The 13,946-nt window shown below is 36.8% G+C and overlaps 1 protein-coding gene across 6 annotated transcripts in view; it reads right to left on the bottom strand.

The window, feature by feature from the left end:
- The window catches only part of RAP1A (RAP1A, member of RAS oncogene family), a 174,683-nt gene that overhangs the window by 14,253 nt on the left and 146,484 nt on the right, over window positions 1-13,946 (bottom strand). For all 6 annotated transcript variants that reach the window (NM_001370216.2, NM_001291896.3, NM_001394066.1 and 3 more), the window contains 3 exons: window positions 11,022-11,105; window positions 7,030-7,098; window positions 4,942-4,998 (listed from right to left, as the gene is read on the bottom strand). In NM_001370216.2, coding sequence (NP_001357145.1) covers window positions 4,942-4,998; window positions 7,030-7,098; window positions 11,022-11,078 — 183 coding nt within the window. In that variant the 5' untranslated portion in view covers window positions 11,079-11,105. The remainder of the gene's footprint in view (window positions 1-4,941; window positions 4,999-7,029; window positions 7,099-11,021; window positions 11,106-13,946) is intronic.

The following is a 13,946-nucleotide window of genomic DNA, read 5'->3' as shown; positions in this document are numbered from 1 at the left end:
TCATGCCAAATTAAAATTACTTAATTTTAAACTTCCTTTTATTTGGTGACAATCATTACTTTATGTTGTAACTATGGAGGTTAATATAAGACAAAATCTTCTTTTAGAAAAGTTTTGGTATTATATATATATATTACTTAAAAAGCACATATGGCAGAATATTAAAAATGTGTATGTCTTGGGTCTTTATATTAAATAACTATACAGTTTGGATCTTTTTACCTCTGGATGCATTAAACGTAAAAGATAAATCCACAAAGTTTCTTAAGCTTGTTGTGCCTTGGCTTCCTTGTTCCCCATGACCACTACCTCTATTTTGTCTACTACATCTAAAATAGTTCTGGTTGTTCTACCCTGGCTGATGTACTCTTTCTTGTATTCCAGGGAGTTAGCTATGCTACCACTCAGCCATTTCCCCAGCTTCAAATTCGTCTAAGGTGTGCCACAGGAACATGGCTGAGCTTCCTATACTGCTGCCAGTGTATTTTCTGGGAAAGATGTAAAAACTGGAAGTTTCCTGGATTTTTCATTGATAAAGTTTGCATATTCCAGAATTGCACCACTATGGTAACCAATTAAATTCTGCCACTGTCCAAATGTTTATATAATAAATGAGTTTACTTACAAATGTTAAGTGCTACAAATACTAGCAACACTATTTCTATGATGTTCTCTAGAGATCATGGTCTCTGCTTCTTATTAAATCAAAAGAATAAACATACAGGCAACCTGAGTTCTGAAAATCCAGTTTAAGAAAAGTCCTTACAGAACTGCTGTGGTTGGTGTTCCCTCCTATTGAGAATGCCAACCTCCTTCTTAAGGACATTCTACAAGTTTCATCCATTCACAACAAATATCCACTGACATAGTTGTAGCCCTATGGATATGTTAGTGATCATGAGAGGCAAAAATTTCTGCCCTGGAGGAGTATACATGGAGACAGACAAAAATCAAGTATGCAAGATGGTAATAAATGTTATAGAGAAAAGTAAAGGTTGGGAGTTTATTTTGAGGGTAGGAATATAAAGTTATATTTTAAAAGACTATGCTCAGGGAAGGCCTCACGGGTAACATTTGAGCAACCATGTGAGGGAGGTGAGGGAATAAGCTCTATGGTTATGTGGAGGAAGACTACCCCAAGCACAGGAAAGAGCAAATGCAAAGGCCCCAAAGGGAAACATGTCTAAAGTGTATGAGAAGCTGTAAGGAGGCTGGATTCATTGAAACATTGTTACCTAGTGGGTGAGTATAGCAGTGGGGGCCAGAGAAGGGACAAAGAGAGAGGATTCTCATTTGGACCTTTCAGGGAAATGTAATAAAGACCTGGGCTTTTACTCTGAGTTTAATGCATAATTTAAGCTGAGGAAAACATGATCTGACTTACATTTAAATGGAATTATGATGGTTACTGTGTGGAGAACAATCTGAAGGGGGTGAAGAAGAGAAGCAGGGAGATCAGTTTTGAGGTTATTGAAATAATCCAGCTGAGAGATGACAACTGTTTAGACCAAGATAGTGTCATTAGATTCTAGTGGTGGTAGCTGAGTTCTGGGTAAGTTTTTAAGGTAAAGCCAGTAGGGTTTTCTGAGAGTTTGGATGTACACATAATATAACAAAAAATACAGTCAAGGACGACTCCATGGTTTCAGGCATAACCAACTAAAAAGGTACTATTTACTGAGATGGGAAAGACTGGAAAGACCCAGGTCAGGGAAAGGTTATCAGGAGTTCAGTTTGGACATGTTATATTTGAGATGCTTATAAGACATACAAAAAGAGATATTGAAGAGGCAGTTAGATATAAGAGCTCGAAGTTCAGAAAAGAAATGAGAGATAGGGATATTGTTTGGATGTTTGTCACCTCCAAACCTTATGCTGAAATGTAATCCCCAGTGTTGGAGGTGAGGCCTGTGGGAGGTATTTGGGTCATGGAGGTGGATCCCTCATGAATAGCTTGGTGCTATCCTCACAATTATGAGTTCTCGTGAGATCTGGTTGTTTAAAAGTGTGTGGCATCTCCCGCTCACTCTTTGCTCTTGCCATGTAAAACACCTACTCCTCTTTGCCTTTCACTATGATTGTAAGCTTCCTGAGGTGTTCACCAGAAGCAGATGCTGGAGCTATGCTTGTATAGCCTGCAGAACCATGAGCCAATTAAACCTCTTTTCTTCATAAATTATCCAGCCTCAGGTATTTCTTTACAATAATGCAAACGGCCTAATACAGACAGGGTTACAAAGTTAGTATTTATCAGCATACAGATTGTATTTAAAACCAAGCAACTACAAGATCTCCAAAGCAGTGTTGTTAGGAAAGAGAAGTGCAAGTATTGAACCCTGAGGTCCTCCAACATTAAGAGGTAGGGGAGATAAAGAGGAATTAGGAAAGGAGACTTAGGAGTAACCAATGAGACAGAGGAAATCAGGCAAGTATTGTTTCTTGGAAGCCAAATGAATAAAGGTTTTACATTAGAAAGCAATGATAAACTGAGTCAAAGGCTGCTGAAAAGTCAAGGGAGTTGAGGATATATTCAAGAGAATTATAAATGATGGACCGTGGACCTGAAGCTATATGCAGAGGGGGTTGAAGATATAAGGGATAATAAAAAGATGTTAGGATAAATGGACTACAGGTTGTAACGAAGTTGAAGGGCACTAAAGGAAATGAGATGGCCTGGGTGCAGTGGCTCACACCTGTTATCCCAGCACTTTGGGAGGCCAAAGACAGGAGGATCCCTTGAGTCCAGTTCAAGACCAGCTTGGACAATATAGTGAGACCCTGTCTCTACAAAAAATTAAAAAAAAAAAAAAGCTAGGTGTGGTGGTATGCACCTGCAGTAGCACCAGCTCCTCAGGAGGTTATGGTGGGAGGATTTCTTGACCCTGGGAGGTTGAAGCTGCAGTGATCTGTGTTCACACCACTGCACTCCAGCCTGGGTGACAGAGAGAGACCCTGTTTCAAAAAAAAAAAAAAAAGAGGAAGTGAGATGGATAAAGAAAAAAGTAGTGAGTAATGGAGGATAAGATGCTTGGAAATTAGATTAGAGAGGTATTATACTTATTGGTAATCACATAGCCTAGAGTAAAACCATGGTATGAATGCCTTAAAGGTAGGATGGACATCAAGGAAATGACAGGCCAAGCCAGGGTAGTAAATCATTTATAATATCCATATAGATTCTATATGGATAGTAAAATCACTAAGAATTCTGATTGAATCAGTGTATGTGAAAGAGAGAAAGCAAAAATCTTCAAAGTGTAAGGAGTGATTTTGAGACAAGATTATGCAGCTGTTTGTAAGGTTTTATGCAAGGTACTGGGGACACAAACAAGCAAATAGGCCTTATAACACAGCGTGTTGAGTGCTAGATGGGAGACAGACACGATATTGGATAGCACAAAGTAAAGATCTCTGTGATAGAGAACTTCCTTCTTACAATCTGGACAGAGAAAGAAGAATGCCCGTACACTGTGGATGTGATTTAAAAAAAAAAAAAGCAGAAAGTATTCATTTTAGCTATTAGGGTCTCTGGAAACAAAGGGGAATTCTGCTGATTCAGAAGCTAAAAACATTAGAGAGCAGGAGGGTGGGAGAGGGAGAGATAGCTTGATTCAGCTGATAGAAAATGTAGTTTCAGAAGGTCTTTACCAGAAGCTTGTTGTGAGGGCAAAGGTCCCTGATAAGAGTTAAGCCATTTTCCCAAAAAAGAATGGAAAAATACAGTATAATTAGTACTATATTGTTGTATAAAATCACTCCAATTTGCTTACATGCTTTTTTGAACTATCTGAAATGTTTCCATCATTTATAAAAATTATAGTGGAAAACTTTGTGCTGAATTTTAAACAACTTATCACATTTAAAAATGCCAGCCAGGTGCCATGGCTCACACCTATAATCCCAGCACTTTCAGAAGCAGAGCCAGGAAGAACACTTGAGGTCAGGAGTTCGAGATTAGCCTGGGCAACACAGCGAAACCACCTCTACAAAAAAAATTTTTTTATTAGCTGGGGGTGGTGGTACGTGCCTTTAATTCTAGCTACCCAGGAGGCTGAGGCAGGAAGACTGTTTGAGCCCAGGAGACTGCGGTGAACTATGATTGCACCACTACACCCTAGCCTAGGTGACAGAGCAAGACCTCGTCTCTTAAGCAAAACAAAAAACGAACCCATCCATTTTAAAGCTAAGAATTGCCTAATGTGTCAAGTCTATGTGCATGGAGAAAAATAAACAAAGAAAAGCAAAGATTGCTTAATGTATGTATTTTATGTGGCAGTATAACTGGAAACCATCAGTTATTAATAAAAATTATAAAGGTGATGGTATTAATGAAGAAGAATAAAAGCAAATACACAATTCCATACTGTGTAACAGACATTATGCCTAATGATTTATAATTATTAACTCATTTGCTTATCACAAACACCTTATGATGTACTAACATCATTATACTCATTTAAAGATTAGAAAAAGGAGGCTCAAAATAATTCTAAATCTTCTGAGGAAGATTTTTGCCTTCCTCAGAAAACATGTATCTGTCACCAGCCCCTTGAGATGTCAAAATGCTAGTGAAAAGAAAAAATTATAAAAATTAATGACTATGGTGCCAAGAGACAAGGTCTTATTTAAACCCATAGAAATACAAATATTAACTAAAGCTCTAAATTTAAAATAAATTTTAAAAAATCACTGACAGCATAATCCTTACCTCAATGTAGGAAGAAACCCAACACACAGATTATTACAGGTGAACTTTGTGATATGTGAGCATGAACTACATCAGAGTTGATTTCATATACTTAAGAATCCCTATGTTCAGAGAATTTCTTCTTAATCAGAATGATTACTTTTACTCAGAATTATCTGGATGACAAAACCTACTCAGATGACAAAACCTGCTCACAAATTAAAATCTATCAAAAAAAGAGAAAACATCCTTACTGTCCCTGCAGTATCCAGGATTTCGAGCATACACTGTTGGCAATCGACTTCAACTTGCTGTGGGGGCAAAAAAAAAAAAAAGGTTAAAGAGTAACATCAAAATCTCATTCTGTTTTCTTCCCACCTCTTCCATCAAAGTAACTATTAACAAATACAAAGCCTGTCTCCAGCAGTATGCTGTAATGGCTGGGGGTAAACTTGGTACCACAATAAAGAACAGCGGTCTCAAGTACAGTCTATTCATATTACAGAAGCCAAGATGGTTAATGCTGAGTTTAGATATTTTCTGACCTCTGTAACGATTCTTATTTGTTATTAGAAAAGGCAAAAGTCATATTTTGAAATTTAAGGAAAACTTCAACGAACAAGTATAGTTCTAACAGAAAAAAAAGTACATATGTGTATTTATATTATCTCCAAAGAAAACAAAGTACAAAAATATTAAATGGCTCAAAATGCGCACAACATTTTGGGGTAAAGAAAATCTTGCCAACTTACCATGTTCAAGTTGTTAAAATTTTACTAAAATATGCAGAAAATTAAATACACAGTAAAATCTGAGTTTAAGACATAAAAGAAACACAGGAGTACTAAAATAAACAGCAATGAGCTAAAACAGTGCCTCAAGAAAAAGGCACTTTTCTAGAAAAGCTCTATGTGAAAGGTGAAATTTTATACACTGAGTTCTATTTACCCATTGGTCTTATAAAAGAAAAGAAGGTTGGTCTAATGAAAGTATCAACTATCAACTGTGTGGAAAACTGTTTTAATAAAGAAGGGATTAAGAAAAGTTAGTCCCTTAGAATTTTAGGTACAGATCTTGCTTTGCAGTTAAAGCTTTAACTAGCAACTTACTTTGGGGAAATTTCAGTAGAGCAACACTGTCTTCTAAAAATAAATGTGCTAACCTAAAGACTATTTTAAACTCTGCTTCTGTGTCAGATCAGACATTGATGAGGGGCACCACTGGTCAGACCACAAACTCATCCACCCCACCACTTATGGGACAAGTGTGATAATCTGCAAAATTTGTAACTGGGAATGTTCAGTGAATAATCAATTAGGACTATAGTTTCTTGATGTATCTAGAGCATAATTCTGTTTCCAATTTGAAGACAATGAAACTGCTCTACTAGTAGTCCTTCATGAACTAACAAATTAATTCAACAAAAGTTACAGCACTATTAAAGGTAAATTCTAAAAATGTCTTCAAAAGCAATCCTTTCCTATTAAAGTTTAATCTTTTTAAAAAATATTCTTGGCTACTAGCCTTTTATAACCTCCACCCCACCCAATATATTTGACATAGAAAATACTGAAAATTTTCCACAACTCTGGCTGGTCTTCTACAGAATATTTTTTGTCAAGACCAAGTACCTAATTTTTTTTCCCTTTTAAATAGACTTTATTAGAGCAGTTTTAGTTTCACAGCAAAACTGAGGGGAAGGTGCAGAGATTTCCCACATACTCCTTGCCACCACAAATGCATAGCCTCACCCCACCATCAACATCCTGCACCAGAGTGGTACATTTGTTACAACTGATGAACCCACATGAACACATCGTTATCACCAAGAGTCCACAGTTTACATTAGGATTTTCTTTTGGCATGGTACATTCTATGGGTTTTGACAAATGTATGGCATATAACCCAATTATAGTATTACACAGACTCTAATTTTTTGGTAGTCTAAAGATATCTTTAAACTTATAAAACTAAACAAAAATAAAAATGTTCAGTCACTGGATAACTTCAAGCATAAAGGTGGTCTTAATTGTTGGTAACAAAAGAGTAAGTTGAAAACACACCTACTATTTATATGCAATTTTTTCATATGTGGCAACATTCCCCACCAGGAAAATGTCCACATTAAGGAACAAGTCACTAATCAGTAACAGAACATAGAGCTCTGAATATCAAAGTAGTATTCTGTTAAGAAATGTTCTGTCTTGATGAAACTTTTAAAAACAGATGCACAATATTTGTATTATTTCTCAAAACTATTTTCAAAAAGCAAATCTACAGATCAAATTTTAACATCATAAGGAACTACTTGTAAGCATGTGTGTACAAGTTTCACATTTTACCTTTCTGTAGGAATCTTCTATCGTTGGGTCATATTTTTCAACAAAAATTCCCTGAACAAACTGAACTGTCTGGGGGAAAAAAAAAGAGAAATATTAAAAAATTAAAGGAAAACTCCTTTGAATGTTACTTAACCTACAAATTATAATGATTAATTGAAATTATGTGAAAATTCTGGGTAAACACGTAAATGTAAAGTATATTATTAATTCTTTCAATATAAGGATACATCCATAACTAAGAGTACATTTATTATGAAAGGAGGTAGTCATGTTAAAAACTGTCATCAATACTGATAATACACTGTTAATTACATTAAGTCTTAATATACAAGGATACAAATAACATATCTGAACTAATTAAAACATGAAAAATTATCAATATTTAAACTCCTATTGCCCCTTTATATATCTATAGTAACTTTTATCCCATGCCCTCTGCCCTTAATGGAGTGACAAAGGTTCTAATTTTTTTTTAAACACAGGGTCTTTGCTATGTTGCCTGGGCTGGCCTTGAACTCCTGAACTCAAGAGATCCTCCCGCCTCAGCCTCCCAGGTAGCTGGACCTCAAGCAGCATCTTGTAAATTTGTTAAAGCCTTTCTAAATTGTGGTGGAAAAGAGAAAGGGAAATTTAAACTTACTGAATGTCTATTATGTTCCAGACATTAAGCTAGTCACTTTTAATTTATAACCACATTCAAATTTCACATTTGTCCCAGAAATAGTTATTCTTCCTATTTGCCAGCTGAGATTCAAACATACATCTTCCTGATTCCAAAGCCTTACTTTTTCCATTGGAAAATATTGCCCATTCATCTTTTTCAGATATTATCAACTTTTAAAGGCATCCAAAAGCACATACTAGAAAATACGTATTTATCATTCAGTAAGTGAAAAAAGTACAGAAGACGGTTTTAAGATATTTCCTAGGTAACTTTAAAACAGGGTCTGGTACATTATTGCCTAAAAAGCAAGGGTAAGAATGTGGACTGAGGTCATCTACACTTAAATTACTCAGAGGAATATTTGATATACTATTTTAGCTTGAGCTAAAGAGATTAACTCAAATATAGTAAACAAACTTCTTTCTCCTACTAAGCTTCTATTATTCAAAGGCAACTCAAGATATAATCACACCAAAAACCTTAATCATGATTTTTATCAAGGATTTAATCACCTCATCTTCTAAGTACGACACATAATTTAAATATACAAAGCAGTCTACGCTGGATGCAGTGGCTCATGCTGTACTCCTAGCACTTTAGGAGGCCAAGGCAGGAGGATTGCTTGAGCTCAGGAATTTGAAACCAACCTGGGCAACATAGTGAGACTGTCTCTACAAAAAATTTAAAAATTTAACCAGGTGTGGTGGCATGCACCTGTAGTCCCAGCTACTTGGGTAGCTAAGGTGGGAGGATTGCTTAAGTGTAGGAGGTTGAAGATGCAGTGAGCCATGATCACGCCACTGCACTCCAGGGCAAGATGCTGATTCAAGATTTAAAAAAAAAAAAAAGGCAGTCTAATACAGCTTCCTAATATGCTTTAGGCTAGAGCAGAGAGTCTCAAAATATGGTCCAAGGCAGAGGCTCCCTAAGGTCAAACTATCTTCCTAACAATACTAAGATGTATTCTAAGAGGTACTCTTCTTCTTCTCTCATAAGTTTACAGTGGAATCTTCCAAAGGGTATAGAACATGTGCTATTGAAAGAGACTGGATACAGAAGCAGGCAAAAGAGCCCATGTGCCTTCTATAAGCCAGACATTAATAAGACTTGCAAAAATGCAAAACAATCCAACGTTTCTCATTTCTTTCTTACTAAAAGTAATGTTTGACTACTCCTCTGAATCTTATCCTCTGTCTTAATTTTCAGGGACATCTCATTCATTCATTCACATAGATTATAATTTTATTCCTCAGGTTTTTGTACTGGATCATCTCCTCTTTCCCTCTCCTGTATCCTTATTTTCCTCTCCAGTGGAGAGGAATTGCCCCCAGCATACAAATATGCTTTACTATCTCCAATTCTAAAACAAAAACAAAAACCTCCCTTAACCCCAATATCTCTCCAGCTTCTGCCCCCATTCTCTGTCCCCTCTCATAATCAAGCTTCTTCAAATGTCTATATTCCATTTCCTCAGCTCTCATTTAATCTTCAACCCACCCCATTATGGTTATGGCAACATGACCTGACTAAAGCTGCTTCCTTTATCATGTCCAACTGCCTCTATGCTCTCTGATCATCTCTTTCCTCTTTTTTACTTGACTTTTGAGGAATCAAGTAAAGACACCTTCTTCTATGCTAGATCCTCCAATCCTATCTACTTTCTAAAGGTTGAGAGGTACTCAGAGCTCAGTCCTGGGCTCTGCTCTTCTCTCTCTAGTATCTCCCTAGACCTCTTTCACTCCTATGGACTTTTTCCAAAATTATTTTTGAAAAGGTAATTCATGGACATAGGACTAAATTCAAAAAGGCACAAAAGGCTATGCAGTGATAACTAAGCTTATCTACCACCCTTGTTCCCAGCTATCCAATCCTACTCCCAAGAAAGTAACTGATGTTATTCATAGCTTATTTAACCTTGAAGAGATACTCTATGATTTTACAGGTATCTACCCTCAGCCTACATTTTTTTAAATATAAAACACAAATTATAGTCTACACTGTTTAGTACCTTTTTTCTCTCTAATAATGTATCTTGGATATCATTACATATCGGTATATATAGAGCTATTGCATTCTAATGGCTGTATTCTACTCTGAAAATGTATTAAAATTTACTTAACTAGCCCCTTAATGGAATACATTTAGGTTGTTTCCAGACTCTAGTCACTGTAAAGAATGTTGTGATGTTCCCTGACCACACCATTTTGCACATGTGAACTTATATGTGGGCTACATTTTTAGAGAGGGAATCGCTGAATTGAAAGTTATATGCCATTAAAAATGACAGATATTCTCAAACATTCTTGACAGAGGTACTGACTTACATGCCTAACAGCAATGTAACTCTCATGAAATTAAATATCATCACCATATTGATGGCACCCAAAATCATATCACCGGCCTCTCTTTTTTATTACTTCAACATGTCACAAACATAAAATTTGACATGACTCTTTGATTTGGACTCTCACTGCTCCTTCTCCACTGTTTCCCTTCTTCTTTTAATCCATCCATAAAATTAGTAGCTCAAACTAGAAACTTGGGAGCCATCCTTGACAGCTCCTTCTCTCCTAGTCCCCATATCAATCTAGCACCAAGTTATGTCAGTTCTACCACTTACTCAATCCTCAAACATTTACTTCTCTTTTCTTAACTGCCATGGTCCTAATCCAAGCTTCCATAAACAATTATCTGGTATACAGTATTAACTCCCAATTTGTCTCCCACATCCACTCTGCCTTTCTTCTAAATTAATCTGTATTTTTCTTTCAGAGTATCTCGCTCACAAGTAGAACCAAGTAGTTCTTTGTGTATTTATTACATCTCCTCCACTATAATGCAAGCTCCATAAGAAACTATGACTGTTTTCATTCACTGTTGTGACCCTAGAATCTGACACTATAGAAACTCAGTAACTATGTACTAAATAAAAACAGCATGAACACAAAAAATGACCTTCATTCCATCTAAGTCTAGGGTGGAAGCAGGTGAGGAATTATCCCACTAGAATCTGTAATAATCAGTTTCCCCCAATACAATGTAAATTCCTTAAAAAGAGAACAATCTTACTCCTCTCTGCATCATCAACACTGGTGCTTGACATATAAGATAGCCAATAAATATTTGGTAAATATAAGAATAAATGAGCCAATGTTATAAAACTATATACATCTGTGGTTATTAAATGATTTCCTGTCCTTTGTGGGACAGATATCAGATATATAATAATGCCACCTTTTCTCTTTGGCATCTAGAAGTCTGAAAGCAAGGAAATGTCAAAATTCTTCTTGTATTATATTAATCAGTTACAGTTAGGTGGCTAACTTACCAGAGCAGACTTCCCAACGCCTCCTGAACCAAGGACCACTAGCTTGTACTCACGCATGATGTGATCTGTTTAAATACTGACGATCTGAAAAACAAACAAAAAAATCAAAGATTAAGAAACATGCTAACAGTCTAATAATGTACACTACTGCATCAAACATAGGAGTTTGTTTTGTTTTTTTCCTTGTAAGACTATCAAAGGGACAACAGAAGCTACATGGCAAAATCCATACAGATTTTAACATAAGTTTATAGGATTACTTTCAGATATTTTAATTCACCGAAGATCATCTTTGACTAGGCATCAATTATGTTCATATTACTTCTAAAAATCTTTGATTAGAAAACAAGATGATTAAATCCAACAGTTGATAACCTTATGACTACAATGATAAACCCAATTCTTTGCAAAGCTATCATTTAAACAACTTATGTACTGTTTAAAAACATTCACTCATGAGCTTTAATATAATGTACATGCTATTTTATTTGTTTAAAATATCCTACAGTAATTCTATACTATTTTGTTCATTATTGTATTATAGCTGAACCATTTAAAATGTCATCTTGAAAATAATTAAAGATGTGAACAGGAGATCAGATGAAATTGCTAAACACTATAGGCAGTTATTAGCAATATACGCCATAAGGCCCAAATAGCCAGAGAAAATAAAAGGAACGTAAACTTTATTTTTTGTCTCCATGATTATCTTAAAAGGTATAAAAACAGGAAATAATTTTCAGTGGCCACGGTGGAATAACTAGAAACAGACTTTTCAACCCACAATAACAGCCAGAACAGTGAACAAAAAAATATAAAACTCTTTTTAGATATTGGATAATAAGCAGTGTAGGACTGTGATTTCTGAGATGCAAAAGAAATGAAGTGAGACCTAACACTGCCCTGGCTTTCTGCCTAGAGGCATTTTTCAGACTGTGGTGAAGGGAGAAAGAACTCAAGCAGAGCTTGGAAGTGGGCCAGAGAAGTGGAAGCTAAGCATATAAAATTCCAGAAATCTGCAGAAGGATTCACTTGAGTCTGTGGCCAAGCCCAGCACACAGACTAACTTCAAAAGGTAAGGCAAAGAATAAATAGAGATTTACAGGTGGAACAATTCCCAGAGTCATATGGTTCTGACTAGAAGTCTTCCTTGTTGAAAAACTAGGAATTCAGTAGAAACCTCAAAAGACTCTTATCTTAGTAGCAAAGCTAAATAAGCTCTAGAGTAAATGATATTCTAGATGCTTCCTAACAAAGCTTAAAACAAGGCTCAAAAGGATGGAGTTGATCCACGTGTAACTCAACCACTTGTCTGAACAAAGTCCAAAATTCTTTAAAAGAAGCAGAAAAAAAAAATTCCACCACTCAACCATATAAAATTAACAATGTCCAGCATCCAATAAAAAATTAATAGAAATGTGAAGAAAGAAAATGTGACCTGAGGCCGGGCGCAGTGGCTCACGCCTGTAATCCCAGCACTTTGGGAGGTCGAGGCGGGTGGATCACGAGGTCAGGAGATCGAGACCATCCTGGCTACCATGGTGAAACCCCATCTCTACTAAATGTACAAAAAATTAGCCGGGCGTGGTGGCGGGTGGCGGGTGCCTGTGGTCCCAGCTACTTGGGAGGCTGAGGCAGGAGAACGGTGTGAACCCGGGAGACGGAGCTTGCAGTGAGCTGAGATCGCGCCACTGCACTCCAGCCTGGGCGACAGAGCGAGACTGCGTCTCAAAAAAAAAGGGACCTGAAACCAGAGTGAAATAAATCAGCTGAAACCATCCCAGAAACGAGATGATGAAATTAGCCAATGAGGACTCTAAAACGGCTATTATAAATACGCTCAAAAATTTAAAGAAAAAAATGAGGAAGAAAATGGCACACATATAATAAGAACCAAGAAGAACTTACAGTATTCAAAAACAGTATGTGAAATAGAAATATCACTGGAGGGTATTAACAATATATTAAATACTGCAGAAGGAAAGTTCAGGGGATCTGAAGACACAGCAACAGAAAATACACAAATTTAAACAAAGTTCAAATGTGATGAGAATAAGAGGAAAGAAGAGAAGGGGAAAGGGAGACAGGAGAGAGGGAAGAAAGAAGCAAGGGTAGAAGGGTTAGGGGTGTAATAAGAAAGAAAAGAAAAAGAAAAAAAAAAGACTAGAACTACAGGACAATACCAAGCTATCAAGCAGTATAATATATATGTAACTGGAATGGGGAGCAGTGCATTTGAAGAAATAATGACATTTTCGAAATTTGATAAAACTGATATATCTGGCCAGGTGCAGTAGCTTATGCCTGTAATCCCAGCACTTTGGGAGGCCAAGATGGGCAGATCACTTGAGGCCAGGAATTAGAGACCAGCCTGGATAATATGGTGAAACTTCATCTCTACCAAAAATACAAAAAATTAGCTGAGCGTGGTGGCATGTGCCTATGGTCCCAGCTACTTGGGAGGCTGAGGTAGGAGAACCCCTTGAGCTCGGAAGGCAGAGGTTGCAGTGATCTGTGATTGTCCCACTGCACTCCTGCCTGGGCGATAGAGTGAGACCCTGTCTCAAAAACAAAACAAAAAAACAAAAAAAAAAACAAAAAAAAAAAAACAAAAACAAAAACCCATCTACACATCCAAGTAACTCAATGAGCCCCCCTCCTGAAGGAGTATAAACACAAAGAAAACCACAACGAGGCACAATAATCAAATTCCTGAAAAGCTGTCAAAACCAGAAAATCTTACAAGAAGCCAGAGGGAAAAAATTTAGATAGAAACAAAGTTAAAATATACAGACTTTGGCCAGGCACGGTGGCTCACGTCTGTAATCCCAGCACTTTCGGAGGCCAAGGTGGGCAAATTGCCTGAGCTCAGGAGTTCGCAACCAGCCTGGGCAACACGGCGAAACCCCGTCTCTACTAAAGTAC

Source organism: Homo sapiens, chromosome 1 (assembly GCF_000001405.40).
Source record: "Homo sapiens chromosome 1, GRCh38.p14 Primary Assembly".
Lineage (NCBI taxonomy): Eukaryota > Metazoa > Chordata > Mammalia > Primates > Hominidae > Homo > Homo sapiens.
The sequence above is the reverse complement of the archived record's forward strand: the minus strand, read 5'-3'. Positions and strand labels throughout refer to the sequence as shown.